Raw genomic sequence first — 22,164 nt, 5'->3', positions numbered from 1 at the left:
AGTTATGCTTTAAAAGTAAATGGGTAGTTGCACTCCTATATGAAATGGAAGGAAAAATACTATTTTGAACCAGGAGTTAAGTCAGATAGTTTATTCTGTGTACATTGTGGTTCAGCGCTTTTCAGAACAGGACAAAAGAGTGATGATGGGATGAAAGTTTTTTTAGAACTAGATTGCCAAGAGCTAATATAGTCTCTCCATCTTATTTGTTTGCAGGAAGGAATCACAGAACAAGCTAAGCTAATTGCAAATGCTTTAATTAAGCATCTGCCATTTGTGTAAGGCAATGCCTAGGAAAGCCTATCTCTGCACTGCCCCTCTCCACACCCTTCTTTAGGTTTAGACAATTTTCTGTCCTCCTAGAGTAGAGGAGTGCTCCTTGACATATTTATATAGAAGCTTTGTGTTATGGCAGCCACATTTGTGCATGTTGAGGAAGGTGATGCCTTGAGGCGTTCTGCTGGGCCCTCCCATATCAGGAACCCCCCCCACTCTCTTGGGGTGCCTTGGAGCCAAGTTTTCTCTGAGATATTTCTATTTCAGCGTGAAGGCTTTTCTCATCTGCTTTAAAATGTGCTGCAAGAGCAACTGAGCTATTCTCTGCTGGCGACCACATGGTTGCCTCTTGGGGATATGGTAAGATAGAGAAAGGAGGGAGGCATTTAATCCCTTCGAAATGGGCAAATGAGATGTCATACCACACAAACCTCAAGGGGAGGAGTTCAGGACAACTTCTCACCATGGGACTACTGCATATAGTCTATACACAAGGGTATCTTGCTTTGTGAAACAGATGAGCTCTTGCAAAACTTTATTACAATAATTCCATTTACACCAATAGAGGGTATCATATAAAACCATAATACACAGATGATTCCCAAATAACCTCTTCAGCTTAGACCTCTCTCCTGGACCTCACAAATAACCAATGCTTAGTGGGTAGGTAGCTCCTCCTGAATAGACATCTCAAACTTAGGTTTAAAAAACCTAATTCTGTATCTTTCTCCCCCATATCTGCCTTTCTCATAGTCTTCTCCATCATAGTAAATGGCAACTCCATTCTTTGAGTTGCCGGCCCCCAAATTTAGTTCTCCTTGAAGCTTCTCTGTCACACCTACATCCATTGTGGCTGCAATGCTGTTGGCTCCACCTTTGGAATACCTGCAGGCTTCCTTCAGGTGTTCCTCCTCTGTGGCCCTCAAATTGGCCAAGCCATGGTCCTCTCCTGCTAGGTTTTCATGCCAGCTTCCCCACTAGCATTCCTGCCTCTGCCCATTTCTCAACACAGCAGCCAAAACACAGCAGTGATTTTTTTTTTAAACTAAACCAGATCAGATCACTACTTTGCTCAGATGTTTTCCCATCTTCTTCCAATAAAAGCCAAAGTCCTTCCTATGGCCTTTGCAGCCCCACATGATCTGCACTCAGGTTCCAACCTCTCTGACCTCCACCCCTTGGGCTTGCTTGAATCTGTCAAGCATGGCATATACTTGGGGTCCTTTGCAAGGACTTACTCTTTCATGCCTTGGGATGGTTCTTTCCCCAGATAGCTACATGATTTGCTTCTCATATTCTTCAGGTCTCTGTTCAAATGTCACTTTCTCAGTGAAGCCTTTTGATCCCCTTATTTACTTTACTCTTTCCCACAGCACTCCCCACCTCTTGGCAGTCCTTATTTTTTTCTTAGCATTTTTCACAGTCTGACAAACTATATGTTGTCCTTGTTGATTTTCTGTCTTCCACTAGAACATAATGCCATAAGGATAGACATTTTTAGGCTTTATTCACTCTGGCACCTAAAGCTGTGCCTGGCACATCATGGGCCATCCATAACAAGTGTTTGCTGAATGAATAAACAGTGAATCATTTTTGCAAACAACTAGTCTTTATTTTATCTATTTTGTCTGCCTTTGTTTTTCTATATCATGTTTTTATCAAATGAGATACTTCATGCATGCATGTGTGTGTGTGTACTTCATGCATGAATGTGTGTGTGTGTGTGTGTGTGTGTGTACAATCTTCCAAGCACATAGGTGGTATGGCTCATGCATCATTAGTGGAACATTCACTGTGTTGTTTTTCCAGTGGTAGTGATGGATTGGAGCCTGTTCATTCCCACATTCTCACCCAGTCCCCTCCTGTGTCCAAGAGCACACATCTGTGAGACACCTGGTTGTAGCTGGAGGGAGTCTGAGTTAGGTAAAATCAACTTGCCAAGAAACAGAGCTAAGAAGACAGCCAGCATTTGTGGGGATTGAGCTTTTGACCCTGGCCTCATTTGTTCTGCATTCTAACCACTGGCCATAGAACGTTCATGTTTTTTTGGAGTTTGCTAATAGTAGTTTTAAAATTCAACTTTCTATCAGGAGAATACAGCATACTTTATTAACCCATGTTTCTGCCCTGTACCCGTACAGTATATCTGCTGTTGAGGATCCTGCACTTGGAGACAAGAAGACCTGAGTTCCAGACTCTCACTACCTTGGACAAGTCACTTAACTTCTCTGTGGCTGCATTATTTTAATTGAAAATTATAAATAGTAAACCTATTCTTCCTAACTTATAGGATTACTGGGAAAATAATACGAAATCATGAATGTGAATGTATTTAGTGAAATATTACACGCATTGTGGAAATTTGGGAAGTTTGATGTTAACCCCCTCTTTCCCACTCTGGACCCTGGATATAACAGAGATCCTACTTCATCTTCTAAATTATTTTTGGTAGAATATACACTGTTCATGTAGTTTTAATGTAAATCACATTATGCAACTAAATAATATGTTCAAATTCATTGAAATTGTACAGTTCACCTAGAGCATGGATAGCAACTTTATTAATTAGAACACCTACCATGTCAAGGAAACATTGCTTTCAACATTATCATTAAATCAGGCAAGGTCATAGGAGTACCATTCTGCCAGGAATTAGTTTAAAAGTAAGATAATTGTTTTTGCTCAGTTAAATTCTGAAATAGTTCAAATCAGTGTAACGATTAATATGTCAGGGTGAACCAGGACTAGTAGAAGTTTCCATCTTTGTCATAACAAGGCCGAATTCGTTAGATCTTGTGGCGTGAGGTTAATAAATGTGAAGGGACCGTTGGAGGGAAGGTAGTGGACAACTCTAGAGGCATTGCGGAGGTCATGCTTTTTTGACAGACAATGCACGTGGATTTGTTTTGCCATTTACCAACAGTGTGACTTTATGCCAGTTTCCTTTCTCCTTCAGTTTTCATTTGCAAAGTGCTAGTATGATGATAATGTTATGGTTTTGAGAAGAATAAATGTGCTAACATCTGTAAAATGCATGTCACAATGCCGGGCACACAACAAGCAGTCATTCAACATAAGGTATTATTTTTACTTGAGTAACAGTAGTTACGAAAAATGTCCTAGGAATGGATTTTGAAAAAGCAGATAGTACTTTTATTCTGGGGGGCAGGGGAAATAGTAGAAAAGGAAATGGCTACGAATCTGTAATATAAAGAGATGATGCAAAAGAAAACAACCTTTGGACTAGAAACAAACATTCATACCATAAACAGGCCATAATGTCATGGGTTTTAAGTTGAGAAGCATGTGAATACATCACTTGCAGGGAAACAGGAAACAGGGAAACTTTGGAATTTGAAATATCACACCCAAAACATGGAAGGAAAAAACCACTATATATAAAAAATAATAATAATAACAAGCAGAGCCTTATATCAAATAGGAGCCCAAGGGATAGTTTTTGAAAAATGATAGCTATCACTTATTAACATTTTAATAATAAAATGTACACTCTGCACCTACATTTAGAATCTGAAAGCAACTCATAATGACAATTTTAGGGATGAGTTGAATTCCCAAGGACCACACCTGTCTTAGGAGAGAAACTCGGCTGCTGATTGGAACCCTTGAGGAGGTTGTGGCTAGGACTTCTGCAAGAGGGTCTTCAGGTTGGGCATGCATCTGCCAGGTCACTCTTCCCTGGCCAAGCTTGAAATCAATTTGGGAGCAAAAGCAAACTACTGCCTTCCACACCAAAGGTAGGAAATAATTGGCTGACCCCAGTAGAGATAGCAGTTATTCTGCTGACAGACACACTACTACAAAACCTGAAATTTGATTCAAATGATAGTCATACAAGTTCTTATCAGTGAGAAAAATCTGACTTCTAAAAGGCACAGCAGAAGGGGAAATAAATTGATGTTATCACCACAATTCCCTGCTACCATTATGTTTTCCAGGAATGCCTCCATGGCTTAGAGTTACAGTTATTTTCAACTAGGAAATAAAATGTTCTCAAACTCTGTAAGTGGAAACAGAATGGAAAGAGTGTGAGATAAATCAGTAATTAACATGCTGCAAGGACCGAAGTTTCAGATCCTTCTTAGCAGCCAGTATGGTGACTTTTGCTTAGAAAGCATTGTTAGTAATAGATACTTCCTCATGCAGCCTTTAGACTTGAAGCTTTCTTTTAATATTCCTAGGTGCTTTCTAGGAATTTCCAACTAACCTATAATTGTCATCTGTAGAACATTAAATTCAAAGAATCCATGCCAATTAAAAAAATTTAGCAGAAGAAGCTCTAAAGTTGGTGCTGTTTACGCCTTTCTTAGCCCTTCTGCCCCTCTACGCTTCAAAGACCAGCCTTTGGCCATGATTTGATTAGAAGCATTTATAGAACAGAACAGGATCTGGCATTAAATACAATGAAAACATGCCATTGGAAAATAAACATTGTTAGAGACTACGAAGAAATAAAGATTGTATTAATTATGTTTTAATGTTCTATGAGGGTTTTACAGACAAGCTGTGATAGATCCATTCTTCTTTCCCTGTTCCTATTCCTGATTCGTTTTTTAAAGAAAAGTATTCAGTCTTTTCATTAATATTGCAGCGACTTCAGCACTTCCCCGCCCCTCCCCCAGACTCCTACTGTCCTTGAATGAGGAAACTGAGAGAATACTGATTGAGCTGGTGAATGGAAACGTTCCTTTCCTGAAAATGGAATGCTTTACAAAAAATTGCATTCCACAAAAAAACACTCAAAACAATTCAACAACTGTCCCTCCTCCTTTCTACCCAGAGAGCCACTTGATTTCATTCACATATTTTGGTTTTTCAATGTATTTGTTCTTAGGCCTAAAATACCCAGGTGGAAAACCATTCTATTAAGCCTTTCACTATTTTAAAAACATGAGCATCTGAGTTTCTAAGAACATTCTCATTCCTGCATAGTGAGCGATAAATAGAAACCAAATTGTTTGTAGCATTCTAAACTCAAGTATATTGGCAGAATGGCAGTGGAGTTGATTTTTATAAGAATACTTGTTAATGGTTTTCGAGACGGATTCTGTGCTAATTCTTCTTGTATCATGAATGATGGCCCTAGCTAGACACTGTCGCTGGGATCTTCATCTGTTAATCATGGAGGCTGCTTTCTTATTCGGTTGCCATAGTTTCAGTGCCTCACATAGTGTTGGGGTGTCTTGGGAAAGGTTTGAGATATACTAGGGCTTGCAAGCCTTGCAGTTATTTTGACAGTTGTGCTCTGAAAGACTGAAAACCGCTTCTCGTATAATTCAGTGTTGGATTAAAAGAGGCAACTTCTGAGAGTGTCTCCCTGGACCTTGTTATGTGCACATCCAGCTGGTATTTAATCCAGGATTTGCCTCTTGCTCAGTCTTGCTGGCAAAAAAAATAAATAAATAAAAATACAGTACAGAGGCTGATGTCACTTTCATATTTCAACAAGAAAGCAAAGGGACGCAAACTCTTCATTAAGACTATTCACAAATGTGGAGGTAAATGAGGCCATTCATGACTTTGCTTAAAATTTCTGCTCCATAATTTGGCTTTGGCTTTGCAGATTACTAAATAAATAAAATGACATCATGATTGCTGTGTGCCGTGTGTTATTTTGGCAATGGAAACATGTAGAGCTTTACTTCAGGTTTAACCTTTCCTTTTTTACACTTGACACTCATTGCTAAGGAGCTAGAGACCATTTTACTGTATTTTGCAACAAAAGGCTCATACATTTTGGACTGTAGGTCTACTGCTTTGTCAACTCGTGAATAGTATATGAACATTTTTCAATTATTTAATAATTTCAATATTTTGCTATTTTTTTTTAGGTTTGTGACTTTAGAGTTGATTAGAGAATGTTCTCCAGTGGTGTATATATTGTGTGACTTGGTCAAGAAAGGATTTGGGGAGTAAATTGCTGTAAGAGGGTGATACACATACACACATTCTGGCGATTTATGTGCTTCACGTGTGATGCAGAACACAGCTTGCTTCTGGTTGGCAAATTTGGCCTTGTGCAACGGATAGTGGTACACTTCATGTTTCAGTTTCCATTTCTCAAGTGGACTTTCAAGGACTCCTACCAGTCTAAGCCAAGCAATTTAATTCCTTTGTAGATTAAAACATAAAATAATCTCACACTGGAAGCAAACAGTGTTGAATTCAAGACATGCAAAGCATAAGTGAAAATCTAGGCTGATTTAGAAGAAGAAACTTTGAATTCCTTACAAATGGGACTAATCTAGAAAATCAGTCATTTTTTTCCTTTTTACTAGAAAATGACTAGTTTTTATTTCAGAATGAGCTTCAAGGCAGCGTTTTAAATTTCTCCAGATCCAGCCTGCCAACATTTTTGTGTAAGATCAACAAGCATTTTTAATGCACGTGCCTATTTTGTTGACCCATCCGTTACCCAACCACATTAAAGGATTGATTTTAGAGGCCAATAATGTGAAGTAAATTAAAAGGATAACATGGCCTTAATTGCTACTGGTTTCACCGGGCTTCTAGGCACCGGAATTTCTTGTGGAGAAACACTTTAAGTGTCACAGCAGTTTTTGATCATGTGGTCTGGCTCACCCAGAGGCTTCAATTATCTCCCAGCCCTTCTCCACCTCCCCTCAGATATCTCTGAGAAGCAAAGAAAATGTGCATTTGTAAATTCAGTATTATGGACCCCTGATTATTTGGCAGGGTAAGAAAATAGGTTCTGTTCATTTTACAGTATTCGCATAGGCTAGATGTTTAAACAACAACAAAAGACATGGAATGGAGGAGAACAGTGGGAGTAAGATCAAAGCTTTTTTCATTAAAAAGAATTTTGTTGAATTGAGTTCATTCTCTCAAATGATAACAAGATTGTGATTACTCTTGGGTGTCGGGTTAGACACAACATTGCACACGTAGCTTAAGAAAAGTAAAAAGTACTTTTTGTGTAGATGTCAGTCAAATACAATGTGGACTTTAATTAACCTTAATTAATGATTTCTGATTACAGATTTTCTTTTGTGTGCCTTGGAGGCTGTATTTAGGTAGAGTATTTTCAGCCAGTAGTGACATGAACTTGCTTCCTTTGTCTTGCCATGCAAACCACACTAGATTCTCATTACAAGGAAAAATGTGATTCTGCATCATTTCAGAATGGTCATACAAAGAATGAAATATCACTTGGGGAACAACTGAAATTTGTAAGTGGTGTGGAGTATTTGAATCTTCAGAGGAACCATTCCTAATTTTAAAGGAATTTACCTATCAAAATTGCTGATATTTACTGGCTTCTGGCTGGATTCGAGGCCATTCCTTCCAAAGATTGAATGGGATTTTGAGTGGTGCCCCAGTTCTTTCAAATAAAAGCATACTGCAGAAGTGCTGGACCTAGCAGCATTTCCTTTGCCCAAGTGTACCCTTTATAAAGTACTAAACATAGCAACTAGGGAATATTGTAGACACTGTAGAGAATTGGGCCTTTGTTTTTCATGAAGGGAATTTATTAACAAAATATTTTGAGGAGTCTTGTCTTGTTCACAGATGGCGACCACGGCGACCCCCCTTCCTGCGGGTGCTGTCAGAGAGGATGGGGGGGACGTCCTCTATCCACCCCATCTTCATACCCGAGGGGGCAAGGGCTCGAGGGCCGACTGGGCCCCAGGTCCAGGAGTCTTTGTCCTATTTCCTCCTGTGGCCCGGTGTTTGATGTGTAAGGCAGTAATACCCAGTTCCTTGCACCTCTGAGCCATATCCTGGGCAGCCAACATAGCAGCATATGGCAAAGATTCATCTCGGTCTGCCTTCACCTTCATCCCACCAGTCACACGGCAGAGGGTTTCTTTGCCAGAAAGATCAGTGACATGGACAAAAGTGTCATTGAAGGGTGCAACGATATGGCGGACACCAAATATGTTTTCTCCGTCAGCCACCTGAGGTCAGAGGCTGATGACCTGTTCTTCCTTTTCCTTCCCCTTTCGAGGTGCCATTTCTGCACGTTGTCTCCAGACTCCACACCGGAAAGAGTGGGCCTTATTTTTGATTAAAAGTACTTTTTCCTGTGTCATGAGTTTTAGAACAAATATCAAAAACCTGAATTAGGATGTTAATGTGCTATTTACATTCAACTTTTAACTAGAGGGTCTGATAAAGGTTAGATATGATATATTAATGCCAATTTATGAATTATATTTCTCTGTGAACAATTATTTTGTAGCTTATACAAAACCCTAATAGCATATAACCCATCTAGTTTAGTGTAATTATGCTTATGAATTATAAATGCTTAGCTTTTACAATTAGACTTACTGATCTGTAGGCACCTTAATGAGAAATTACTGAAATTAAATTGATTCGTAATATTTGATGTACTGTGTTCCAGGGTAGTGGTTGTCTAAAATAATTTTTAGAGTATGTGTCTGACTGCATAGCAGTATGGCTTTATTTTTAATAGAAAAAAGTCCTCCCTGTTGCATGATCCCACCTTTGTCCAAGGAGGAGATGTCAAAAGTTAGAAAGAGCAGAGTAGATTCACATGTAGCCAAGAGAAAAGGTAACACATCTTTTGGATACTTTTTTTTTTTAAATTATAAAGGGATGTTCAGAGTACAGGGAAAGGTTTCTATTAAAAAGTCAACTTTTATCTACAAGGTGTTTCCTCTCAGTTGTGATGAGGGGAAGTTCAACATGTTGAATATGCTGGTTAATTAATTCTCCAGGGATATCTCCGAGGGTGATGCTTTCGTTTTCATATTTTGTTGTGTCAAAAACACAAAACCTGTTAATATTGCCCAAACACATCCGTTCCCAAGAATTAAAAGGACAATGTAATTGCCTTTGCTGCTAGAAAACAGCTACATCCAGTTCTCTAGCAGATCTTCCAACATGCCAGGTGTGCAAGACAAGCCTTTGAAATGTTGTGAATAACTTGACATTATCACATTGTTATTGAAATGCAAATTCTGCGTAGAACATGAAAGAGTTTTAAATGTACGAATAGGACAATGCATGTCATCAACCATACCTAGTCTTAACTTGCTTGTTCTGTGGAAAGTAACCATAATGTATTTGCATCTTTTATTGTTTTTCCTTGGCCATGTTTAAAGTGCTCAACACACCTTCCTGGGTGGCACCTTGTTGGGGAGAGAATAGATTGGCTCCCAGCTTTGAGGTGTTTAGATAGGGCTGTTTTGCCCAGTAAGGAGATAACGTTTCCCCAAATGAGTCTTGCTGAGTTCTACATTAGAATTAGAAGTCAGCTTACTGACTGTATTTAATGGTGTTATTATTAATAATAAAGACTATTTATATAGTGCTTGTATTTTTCAAAATGTGTTTATAAACATTGCCTTATTTCATCTTATCACAACCCTCTAGGTTAGGCAGGATAGGTATTATTATGCCCAATTTAAAGATGAGATAACAGGTTCAAAGAGGTCAAGTAATTTGCCTAAGAGCACACCTCTGGTAAGGGAAGGGTGTGGACAAGGTCCCAAACCATATGAATCTGAGTTTTGTGCTCCTCCATATAGCTGTGTTGTGTACTCAATATTTAAAATTAAAAAAATATTAAAATTGTCCAATCATAGTTCTCACATTTTTCCTATTACATAGAAGTGAGTCCTGACATAGAACAAGTTTAGAAGTAGCTTTTTGAGGATTTCGTCTGAGGCTTTAGTGCAACTGGGACCTAAATTCCTACTTCTCAGTGAAATACCATTGCTAGGAGGGGACACTCACTGTCTCTGGAGGTTCTTAGAGTGTCTTGAGTCAAAATCACCCTAAGAAATATCAAATGGCAAATGGTAGGTGATTTTATTTGGGATTCTAGTCCTATTTTATGGTCGGGATAAAAATAAATAGTTACATAAGGGTGGCAGTTTTGACCCTGGCGCAGGGTAGAACTGGAGGGACAGAAGGTTGAATTAGATACTCTGTCAGGAATATCCTCCTGGGGCTTGCAACTCTTACCTATAAAACAGAAACACGTTTTTAGCAAGGAATGAAATAGACTGCATGGCACAACCTAAGTGGATCTTCCCTCTGACAAAAGTCATTGTACTCTGGTTCAGGCTACTAGATCTAGTGAAAGCAGCAGTTCAATTTAATTCAATAGATAATTTATTTAGCACCTACTCTTGGCAAGGAAAAGTTCTACACACTGCAGAGATGCAGCGATGAACTAGTTCAGAATTTACTGGCTGTGTACCTACTGTCGGCCCACATTTCAGTGAAGAAGGTAGAGATGTGAAAAGTCTTTCTAGTCTAAGGCCTGACTATTCTCTGTCCCAAATGCAGAATGCAGAAGATGCTAAGAAGGCCAAAAGTGGCTCTGTCCAGCTGGGAGGTCAGGCTGGGCTCCATTGAAGGAGGAAGCATTTCAATTGCGGAGTGAGGTCTCCGTATTTGGGAGGCAAGGGGGAGGAGGAGCAGTGGGGTGAAGGGAAAAGCAGGAGCAAAGCCCAGAGGTGGGGAATGTAGGACTTGGCCCCAGAACAGCAAGGGGCCTCCTGGTGACTGACGCACAGGGACAAGGTGATGTGGTGAAGCCCTGAAGACAGAGGAGGCATTGAGGCAGCTTGTGGAGGGCTCTGCCCAGGGTGCTGCAGGTGGCTGAAGCTTTTCAGCAAGAGGATGATGTCACCAGATCCGTGTTTTAGAAGTATAAATCTGCTAGGACTGTGAGTTGAAAAAGGAAACAGATTCTGGGTATGTTGGCATGGTACAGCCAACAGGATTTGAGGCCAGTTGGATGTGTGGGGTAAGGGAGGGGAAGGAGTAAAAAATGGTTCCAAGGTATCACCTCTGGGGAGCTGAGTGGATGGTTGTGGCATTGGCCAGGACAGGAACCCAGGTTTACAGACAAAATATTTAATTAACTGCTGTCATAAACCGTATTTAAGTGACACATAATAAGCAAAACACCAAAGTCCAACACCTAGTTGCAAGGCTCTTGTATTGGTCCGAACCCCGAGAGCGCACCAACAAACAACACAAGGCGGTGTGGAGTAACGCGCTGTTGTAATGAGCCCAGGCGGGCTGAGGCCTAAAACGGCGTCAGCCCCAAGTGCGGATGGGGCAGGGGTTTTATAGTCTTCTGTAAACAGGAAGTGTCCCAGTCTGACTGTAACTGCTACGTGGTACCCTGACGGCCCCTCTCAATCTCCAGGGGGTACCTGTCTTCCGGCCAGCTGTCTTCCTGCTTCTGCTATCTGGGCGACGCACCAGGCCTTGCGGACTGGGCCTGAGGAGGGAGGAGTTATTCATCCCCCCAAGCTTCCAGGCTGGGGGAGAGAATCTTTCACTAGTCCTATTGTGCTCACCCTCAGCTCTTCACAAAGACTGCTGAAATTTTTGAGTATGTTTAAACTGTAGCATTTGGTCTTGCAGTTGGGACCACTCTTCAACTTTAGGGAGGTTCATACCATAATATGAGGTGGCTAATAGGAGGAAGACGGAAGCACATTCATTGCATCTATAAAAACCACTGTTAAAAATGGGCAGGAGGACCAAGCGCTAAATGATCTGTTCATGTAAAAATCGGGGCATATATGGAGCCACCTAGTTCCTGTTTATTTCATTCCAAACAATTTTACTTTATGAAAGTTTTTAAATTCTGAAATTAGATATACATGTGTTCTCCCTCTCCCCCCGGCTCAATGTTGGGCATATTTATATGAGTGTTTGTCTCTTAAATTGCCATGTGCAACTGAGGTGTTGCAGACGATGTAATTCACAAAACAAATAACGCTTAAATTGTGTTGTTTTTATACTATTTAAAAGAATCCTTGGCCGGGCGCGGTGGCTCACGCCTGTAATCCCAGCACTTTGGGAGGCCGAGGCGGGTGGATCATGAGGTCAGGAGATCGAGACCATCCTGGCTAACAAGGTGAAACCCCGTCTCTACTAAAAATACAAAAAATTAGCCGGGCGCGGTGGCGGGCGCCTGTAGTCCCAGCTACTCGGGAGGCTGAGGCAGGAGAATGGCGTGAACCCGGGAAGCGGAGCTTGCAGTGAGCCGAGATTGCGCCACTGCAGTCCGCAGTCCGGCCTGGGCGACAGAGCGAGACTCCGTCTCAAAAAAAAAAAAAAAAAAAAAAAAAGAATCCTTAAATGATGGGTATTCTCTAAAGCATGCGGGGCTTAAAACCTAGATGATGGATTGATAGGTGCAGCAAACCACCGTGGCACATATATACCTATGTAACAAACCTGCACATTCAGCACATGTATCCCAAGACTTAAAGTAAAAGTAAAAATTAAAAAAGATGGGTATTCTATATTTATCTTTCATGTTACATTTTTCTTTGTGGGGTTTCTAAATAAAACTTGTAACATGAATGTTTTATTCTCATTCTGTATTTTAAAAAGAAGCTGAGTAACAAAAGGAAAACAAAACAGGATTGGAAAATCAACTATTTTCAGGGGGCTTTAACAAACTGAATATCTAGAAAGGTTCTAGAGAACCTTTATGAAACTGTTTGTTTGGATGTCTTATTTTAAAGGCATATTAGAAGTAAACATTAAGGAACGATTTGATTTTTAAAAAATGTTGGGACACCATATTTGAGTTGGTATCATAATGCCGAGAAACCAAATTATAGATTATTTATCTATTACGTGCCACATTATTGCATAGTTGTGCTATCGCTTGTTTCTAACTTTACTTGGAGGCTGCCCTCTAGTGTTACTGAATCTCAGCACAACCACTTTTGTTTAGATCCCCGGAAAGGTGACAAAACACACAGAATGCTACCATCTAGTCAGCAGCTAGAGTGTTAAGTTTATGATACATAGTTTGAAAGATTTTGAATAAATTAAAATGTGCACATCACCAGTGCTCTTGATGGCATAGAAGACAGCACTGGAAAAAACACACACCAATGACTGAATTGAAGCCATATCCGGAATACCAAGTCTAACACAGGTTTTAGGACTACCTTAACCAATTAACTTCACTTTTATTTTCTATTTTGTATGTGCAAAAAAGCTACATGTGATAAAATAAGCTCTCTCTAAATAAGGCTATAAGAACTTCTTTAGTTTAAATAAAAATTATAAGTATTAAGAAAAGCACTTTGCGAGGCCAAAGCAGGCCAATGGCTTGAGGCCGGGAGTTTGAGACAAGCCTGGGCAACATGGCAAAACCCCGTCTCTACTAAAAATACAAAAATTAGCCAGGAGTGGTGTCTCATGCCTGTAATCCCAGCTACTTGGGAGACTGAGGCACGAGAATCGCTTGAGCCCAGGAGGTGGAGATTGGACCACTGCACTGCAGCCTGGGAGACAGAATGAGACTCTGTCTCAAAAAACAAAAAGAAAAGTATTTCAACCACCATTGGGTGGGATGTGTTTGACCAGACAGCCTCAAAATTTATGATATAATTAGTCCTCAGAGAAGAGTTCTCAAACTTCAACACATTTTTCTATTACAAACCTTCAAAGAGTAGATCCAAGCACTTTAAAGATTATTCTCTAAAGATATTAAGAAGAGAAGCACACCCTACAACCTAAATGGTGGTGTTAAGTACTTTTCTCACAGTAGTGCCAACTCTGCTTTTTCTTGGATGAAGAATAAGCATACTCCAGAGTCTGCAGAAAGTGGGGAGAGTAAATTTCAGACACAGTAGCTATTTTTTGCATGTATAATGATGGCATTCTCAGTGGATTATGAAGGTAACGTTGCAACACTCCAAGTACATCCAGCTTACAGCAGCAGAGTGACTGACATGTTTTCTATAAAAATGGTTACTGGTAACAGTGGTTTTCCAAAGTTCTGAAACTCAGATCAGGAAGAACAACTAAAATCATATTAGCGCTACACACACACAAAATGAAGCTGAACACCAAAATGACACTTGGAAGTCAGCTTTTCTTCTAGAGGGGTGTTATGATAGAGTAGTTAAAAGTATGGGCTCTGGAGGTTGCTATTCTATTGGCTGTGAGATCTTGGGAACATTACTTAACATCTCTGTGCCTCATATTCATCATCTGTAAAGGGGAAATACTAATGGTACCTTCCTCATAAAGGGAGTCTGATGATTAAATGAAACAATATGCACCAGAATGATGTCTGGTACATAAACACTCAATAAAAATTAGCTATTAATATTTGACACCAAACCCTCCTAATATAATGAGCTAAATTCAATGTTTTTGTCACCAGCAGGATATGGGTTCTTGACAAGTAAAACTAAAAAGATGATGAGGAGATGATAGTGTCCAGATGAATCTTTCTGCCAGTTTCTGTCTCTTTATGTTCTTTTGTGTGTCAGAGCATGGTTTAAAATAACTAAGTAAGTAATCATTATTTCATTTTATGTAGGAAATATAGTACATGCCTACTATGTGCAGAGTGCTAAATTAGATCTTATTGGATATTTCTAAAATATTAAATAAGGCATTAGGAGTTAGGTGACTATGTTTTGCTACAGTTGTTATTTGCCTTTGTTGGGTCCAGTGCCCAGTTAGGAGCCTATGTTTATCAGGCCCATGGTGCCTTGAGCTATAGCCTTCCTGTCTTCTGTTCTCAGAGGAAGAAACTCCGAGGTCATAATATCAAGTATTTCCTCACTGGGTGAGTTTTCTGAATGCAGTGTTTAGATTGTAGGTAATGTAGATTGTGTATTTGGAAACACAATACTCAGGGATTTTCACTAACAAAGAGGGCCCAAAGATCTCTGTCAATTAATTAGATTTTTTAAAAATATGTATTTATCTTTTAGAGACTGGTCTCCTGTTGCCCAAGCTGAAGTGTAGTAGCATGGCATGATCATAGCTTACTGCAGCCTCGAGCTCCTGGGCTCAAGTGATCCTCCTGAGTAGCTGGGATTACAGGTGCACACCGAGCCTGGATAATTTTTACAATTTTTTTTTTTTGAGGGGGGGTCTTGCCATGTTGCTCAGGCTACTCCAGAACTCCTGGCTTCAAATGGTCCTCCTGCCTCAGCCTCCCAAGTAGCTAGGATTACAGGCATGAGCCACTGCACCTGGCTCTGTTAACTTAATGTCTGACTCAAAACCAATGTATAGATACAAACAAGTTTATTTTATATAATAAAACTTTGTTATATGTGGCATTAACTACTCGTACCAATAAACTGAATTTTCAGATTGAGTCATGGGGTTTAAACACTTGTCTTTCACAAAACCAAACAGCTGAACTGCTAAACAGCAAAGTGGATAGATTGGAAAGTAAACCCCTATTCTGAGCCTGCCTTCACCCCTACTTCACTGAGGTGTAATGAGGAGATAGAAAAGAAGTTGGGTGAGTCAAGAAGAGAAACAAGGGCTGATCATTAGCTCTCAAGCAAACAAGAGTTAATTTTGGCTTTATCCATTCTAGTTTACTCAGGTGGGCACAGCCTGATTCACAAAAATAAGGAACTTGTTGGTCAGGGGTTAGGGAATGTGCTAACAAAAGCTTGGAGACTGGGTGTCTCTGGAGCTGGATAATGGGAACTGGGGCCCCTCCTTCCCGGTGGCAGAGAGGATTGTGTTCATTTGGTATTTACCCAAAGTCAGAACCATCTGACAGCTGTTTGGTGTTTCTTGTGAAATGGACTTGGACCCTGACCAGATGCTAGTGGACAGATGTTCACAACACAAAAGGCTTCATCAAAATAGGCACTAATTGGCACCCTCCTGACAATCTCAACAAATAAGGCAGGAATGGGCTGTATCTGCTGTTGACCATCTCAACGCCCAAGCCTGCCTTTCCTGGCTTAGGGAGGAGGCCCTGTTGGGGAACTGAGCTTTCTCCATAGCCAGAGATTTTTGGTTCCAGGGCTTCTTGACATGAAACTCCCAAAAGGTACTGAATATTTGTTTTATATGTATATATGCTTGTATGTATATACTTAATTGAAACCTTTTAAGAAGGTAGGCCAAGGAAGGATCATTTGGACTTCACCACCCACCTCTCACCAAAGCAAGTCTTAAAATGCAGAATTTTCTCCACAAAGTTGGTTTCTATGCAGTAGTTTTTGAACAAATACTTTATACAAATTGTTACGTATTATCTTAATATGAACCCCTCCAAATAAATGTGTGTATTTTATTTTATCTGTGATGTAGTTTTGTGCAAATATTTTTGCTAGATGGATTTTAAAAACCTAAAGCTGTTTTAAAGTGGATATTTCAGGGGCAAACTGGTTTGACTATGCCCCATAAATCATTAGATAGGGCTTGCTCCTACTTGTACAGGATACAATTAAGTTTGATTTCAACAGTTCAACTGTCTTTTTAGTGCTAGAGACACTTTTTGAGTAAGCATTCTCTCCTCTTTTTTTCCTCTGAATTTTGCAAGTTGGGAACAAACTCTAACTCCTGGCTTATTATTAATACTATTGGAATCTGTTCCCATCTATGTGCCGGCAAATAATAATTCTTTCTAAGGCAGGATGTAGTTTTACAATGCATGGTTTAAAACACTTTTACTGATGTTACTGTTTATTACTGTTTATTACAGTAGAAAGCCCTTTCCTACTATAGGGCTCTCTGTGGCCCTCCTCCTATCATTACCTATTGAAGTCTCCTTTTTCCCACTCCTCTCCAGGAATACAGATTTAAGAACGATCCATGCTCCACTACAGATATTTCCAAAACACAATTGGTATTAACCCAGGCTGGACACATTTTATCAGTCATTTCTATAATTACTTATTTTAAAAAATGGTATACATGGTTGCTGTATCGTATGGAGTGTGAGAAGCTATCTTATCATGGTACTATTCATCCTGGTTGAAAGGATGTTGGTTTTTTCCCCCCTAACATCTCACTCTCAGGATTTCTCTGGACCAGGAATCCACCCCCTCTTTCCCATTCTCTAGTGTGGCTCCTGCTCCTTTGAATGAAAGGCTGCTCTGACTAAAGGAGCTAGAATATGCCCAGCAACCAAGGCCGGGTACTATTGAGTCCATTGTTTGCTCCCAGCACTGTGGAGCCAAATCTCATTTTATAGCACAGTGTGTTCTAGGAATTCCACTTCATCAGTACAACAGACCTTCTCTAATGCCTTCCTATTTTCCCCATTTGCTGCTGTCACAGGCAGCGCCACACAGTCCTGTGGCAGGCAATTATAATTCACTTTTCTCCAAGGCTCTGCTCTCCCCCTTTTGCAAGGGACCACAAGGCATCAGCTGCCATATTAAATAGACGCTAATGACACCAAGTGTGAGCCGCCAGAGCTGTGGTTGTGATGGTGTGTTTAAGATTTAATCCCTTTGAGGGACTGAACCTGGAGTTCAGAGGTGGTTTCACTGAGGTTTATAAGAAATTTGGCTAAGATTATACTTAATGGATTTTCAAGTACTGAAAGGTATTTGTGTTTAAAGTGAATATGTTAATAAAACTTTCCAAACACAGTCACAAAAAATAGATCTGATACAAAATTATGTAACGTATTATTCAAAGTAATATAGTTGTCTAATAATAATATATTGTATGTGCATATGTGCTGTATGTACTCATTTTCCCTCTATAGTTTTCTAAGCGGTTTGCTTTTTTCTAAATGGAGAAGTGTCCTTTGGTGACTCACAAAGATTCACAATGAGCGAATGCTCCCTAGAGCAGGGCCAACTCCTCTTGGGCCCTTGTCTTGCTAGAAGATGCTTTTCTCCTGGAGACAGGATCGCCATCATTAGTAACTTATCCCTACACCCAATCCACAAAAGATTTTACTCTTTAAAATTTTCCAGCATATTTTGGCAATGGTGGAATGACAACGTATTCATTTTTGTCCCATCTGGCAACATTTTGGCACCTCTTATGAAATTATTTTCTATTGGATTTGTAAAAGTGCCCCATTAGTAACACTTCCTGTAAGTGTAAATAGGCTTTTCCATAGCTGTCCCTTCACCGAAATAGATCGGTTTTGAACCTTCCTGCCAGTACAGAGGATGTGGCCTGATGCTCCCTCACAAGACGGTGGCTGTCTCACCTTCATACTGCCCGGGCCGCTTAACTAAATTGCTCCATGGCCTTGTGTAGCTATGCTGAAGGATGGAGAAGAGCGTCCCTTTAATGAACCCGGAGTATTTCATTTATTAGCAAATCATCAGTTGACCCAGAAAGTGGCCAGGTAATTAGTGTAAAGTTTTGCAGAGCTTTTTTATATGCACCATCTCATTTCATTCCCATAGACCTCTGTGGCACCTGCCTTTACCCTGGCTTGGAAAAATAGAACTTCTCCCCTTGACTAAAAAGACTTAGTCTGTGTAAAGTTATGTGTTTTATCACTTTACCCAAATATTGTTCTTTGTAATTTTCAACTTAACACGCTAAAACATACTGAAAAAAAATGATTGACTACAAAATCCTTTTTTAAAGGAAATGTGTACATCAGAGGAAGCGTTAGGCCGTAAATAGTGTTATTTTAGACACTCTAGGACATTTTAAAGAGCAAGAACAAGCCTATAGCTCACCTTGCAGTGCTCTCCAGGTTAATCAGTGATTCTTTGACTGGTGTCAGGGACATTTGGTGGGTAGTGATTGGCATGCCTGTATTTTCCTTTGTCACCATTTCTTCAGGTTCATGTAGAAAACTGCAGTCAGAATCTACAGACAAGATCCTGTGACTGGTTCTCAGGAGAATCCTTGTGACAAACATCTGGCAGATATGTTTTAAAGTCCTACGATAGCTGTCAGAAAGTTGATGGCTCCTGATACGTTACATTGTCAGTCCAGACACACTAATTCTTTAGTGGGATTATTGATGTTGTTGTAGCACATCTGTGTTTAATTGCAGACAGGAAGCTGAAAGAGAAAGCTTGTTGTGATTACGACCTCTGAGATACCTATTATATCTGAACTTAACAATCAGGTCAAAACTTAGTGGTGGGTGGGAATGAAAAGATGTCCGCAAATGAAACTATGTGCATGGGAGAAGAGACTGCATGTCACTGACCTGCAGAGAAGCCAGTGCCTGGGTTCAAATCCATCACTCTCTAGCTGTGTGACATCAGGCAAGCTCCTTAACCTCCTTGGGCCTCAGTTTCCTCCTTTGTAAGATGGAGTAGTAATAGCATCTGCCTTATAGGGTTGCTGTGAGGATTAAATTAGTCCATATGTATACATTCCCTTGAGTTCCCATTACATCATAAGCACTAGATAAGTGTTTCCTATTTTTATATTTCCCCCCAAATCTTCTGCTTTGTAAAGGTAAATCTTCTGCTGATAGAGGATGAGCTGCAAAGAGAATGTGTGTGTGTGTGTGTGTGTGTGTGTGTGTGTGTATGCTAAGACTATCATGCAGAATTGATTCTACACTTGTAACACGGGCATATTTGGCTGTTATTGCCTACGTTATCCATTTTGACACCTCCCCTACTCTCAAAGCCCCTGCATGTCACTCGCTTCCTCTGCTTTTCCCCTTCAGATTATTTCACCCATGTTCTATTTGGTCATGACCTGTATGTGTACCTCATCTAAGTGATGCTTTATGAATTCCATAAAGCCACTCATCTTTGAGGTCTCCAAGAACAGAGACTATTCCCTAATGATCCTTTTGTGCAGTGTTAGTTGTTAAATGTGCTAACGGATGCCAGCGTTTGAAAATGGTGCTGATCCATGACCTCTTCTGACAATGTTAGATTCCTATCCTTCAGAGTGAGAATTTTAGGCATGAGGCTGCTTGAGGTACTGGGTTGCCCAAGACAAACCTGATCTCCAGGGCTGAAGTATGGGCATCTATGAATCAATGCCCATCAGGTGATTGTGATGATCAGTCAATATTGGCAGCCTCTGATTTAATTAATCATCCTGAGAATAATGTTCCTTATGTGTAAGATTATTAGAAAGCCAAGTTTTCTCTCAGAGTTTTGGTGCAGATCAAATGATGTCCTGTTTTTACAAAGCCTGAAGCCCAGGTAAACCTAAAGCACTGTTATTACTGTTATTACTGCAGAGAACCTGTGTGCTGTGGAAGGTCCCCAGGCTACAGGGTGCAGAGATGTCCACTGGGCACATGCTGACAGATCCTTCAAAAAATGGTACTTAAAGAAGATTAGATCAACATTTCTGAGAAAAGCATCTCTTTTGCCTTCTCATTGGTTCAGTAAACCCAGTTAAAGGCAAAGTTTCCAGCCCTCAGAGCCTGCCATGGGATTCCTGTATCATTAGATATTGTTAACATTAGCACTTTTGGAGTATTATTTCACAGACATGGTTTCAATGTTCAGAACCAAAAGGTGGAGAAATGGTGTCAGATAACCTTAGAGAGGATCATTTTCTTGGTAATCTCTCCTTTCTTAAAATAAACTAGATATTGCTGACAATGTGAAATTTGTGACTAACCTTCAGTAGATATGTTGATTTTGCTTTTAAAATAAAAACCAAGGATGCTTAGAAGTAGCCATAAGAGGAAATATTTTGAAAATGAATGACCTAAAGTAATCAATGGATATGTATAACATTTATATTTTAAAATGACAATGACTGTGATTTAAAGTGCCTCTAAAAAAATTAACTCTTTAACCATCAGTCCCTTTCCACTCAAATCCTAAAGCAATGCAGTTTCATATTTTCTGCTTGTACAAGGTTAGGATCCATCACTGACTCAAACATGATCATTTAGACGACCATTTAGAAGGCCCAAGAGCAATGTAACTGGCATTTCTGGGTCACAGCTAATTGAATGGAATGTGTGCCGTGACCGATCGTACAGGTAGCACTTGGGCAAAGAGGTGTTTGTGAAAGTGCATAAGTATCGTTTGTGTGTTCTGACTATTGTTTGTATACTACTAAATGCTCTGAAAAGTGTTATAATTTGTACATAGTATGAATGATTTGGTGGAGGGAAACTCCCTTGTGAATTTTGTATAAAGAGTATACTGCATTCCTGTTGTCACCAGAAAAGTACTGATATGGCACATTCTGTTAACAGTAATTGGATATGTATGCCTTGTTAGAAGAGAAGAGGGTAATTTCCCACTTATTATAAATAAAATTATTCTTATTTCATGTCTTCTGTTTCCACCTGTTTATATTTTGTTTTGTCTGGGCAATGTTGGTGGAGATGAAAAGAAAATTAGCCTCCTAACCTGCAGTCAGAGGATAGACAACCATGGGTCCCTGGGGTTTTAGCTTGAGCTACCTCCATACCAGCTCCCCATTCTTGTTTCCCCTTCCAAATCCATGAGGGCTTTATGGTAGTCTGGTCTTCTCCAGGAGATAAGCATGATCAAGATCCTCCTGCTTCTAATCTCTCCTCTCCAGGCTTCAGTGCTTCTGTTCTAGTGCCGAGCTCTCCATACGCTATGGGAGGGTATGGAATGGGGGAACTTATTCCATTATGAATGCTCACCTCTCTGACTCCAAGAGAAATTTTTATTTCTAGATTCAGGCCCTCAAATGGTAGAGGCTTATAAAGACTTGTAAAGTATGCTTTTAGTAGGTCCCTGGCGATATTAAGGGAATTTAGCATGTGATGTTTTTTCCATCTAGGTTTTAAGAGATGATTTATCAGGTCCATTTTGTTGTTTGCTTACAGTGATTTTTATTTGTATTTTTCGTTGATTCATCAGAGAGCCTGAAAAGTGCTTATTTGGTCTTTCCATCAGCTAGCACTGAGAACCTTTAAATCAGTGGTTTAGAGTACTCTATCTACAAGATCATGCTTTACTTGTTGTATACTTCTTTCTAGAAGTAGAAATTGCAGATAGAGAAGGCCAGGCCTGTCCTATTATTCTTTTAGTTTCCAAGGCAGCATTCATTTAAGCATAGCGTTTAAAATGATATTGGATAATGCCATTGGATAAAACTCTTTTGCAGAACAGAACTGTGCAAAGCAATACTGTTTTAAGGTGAATTGAAGCCATCCAGGCAGAGAGAATAAGGTTGTCTTCTTATCTCTTCTGTTGACTTGGTCTAATCTGTGGGCAG

The 22,164-nt window shown here is 39.9% G+C and overlaps 1 protein-coding gene and 1 pseudogene across 6 annotated transcripts in view, besides 2 other annotated features; one reads left to right on the top strand and one right to left on the bottom strand.

The window, feature by feature from the left end:
* Positions 1–22,164, top strand: part of SEMA6A (semaphorin 6A) — a 131,269-nt gene that overhangs the window by 3,989 nt on the left and 105,116 nt on the right. The window lies entirely within an intron of this gene.
* RPS14P8 (ribosomal protein S14 pseudogene 8) lies at positions 7,771–8,310 on the bottom strand (annotated as a pseudogene).
* Positions 10,274–11,145: an enhancer, noted in NCBI's record as "H3K27ac-H3K4me1 hESC enhancer chr5:115895386-115896257 (GRCh37/hg19 assembly coordinates)". NCBI's record gives its function as "activates a minimal SCP1, AML or CMV promoter by ChIP-STARR-seq in naive H9 embryonic stem cells {active_cell/tissue: H9 hESC(naive)}" and the evidence as "EXISTENCE:reporter gene assay evidence [ECO:0000049][PMID:30033119]".
* Positions 11,146–12,018: an enhancer, noted in NCBI's record as "H3K27ac-H3K4me1 hESC enhancer chr5:115894513-115895385 (GRCh37/hg19 assembly coordinates)". NCBI's record gives its function as "activates a minimal SCP1, AML or CMV promoter by ChIP-STARR-seq in naive H9 embryonic stem cells {active_cell/tissue: H9 hESC(naive)}" and the evidence as "EXISTENCE:reporter gene assay evidence [ECO:0000049][PMID:30033119]".

The sequence above is a fragment of the Homo sapiens genome, chromosome 5 (genome assembly GCF_000001405.40).
Source record: "Homo sapiens chromosome 5, GRCh38.p14 Primary Assembly".
Lineage (NCBI taxonomy): Eukaryota > Metazoa > Chordata > Mammalia > Primates > Hominidae > Homo > Homo sapiens.
Note: the sequence above shows the minus strand (reverse complement) of the source record. Positions and strands in the feature narration are given on the sequence as shown.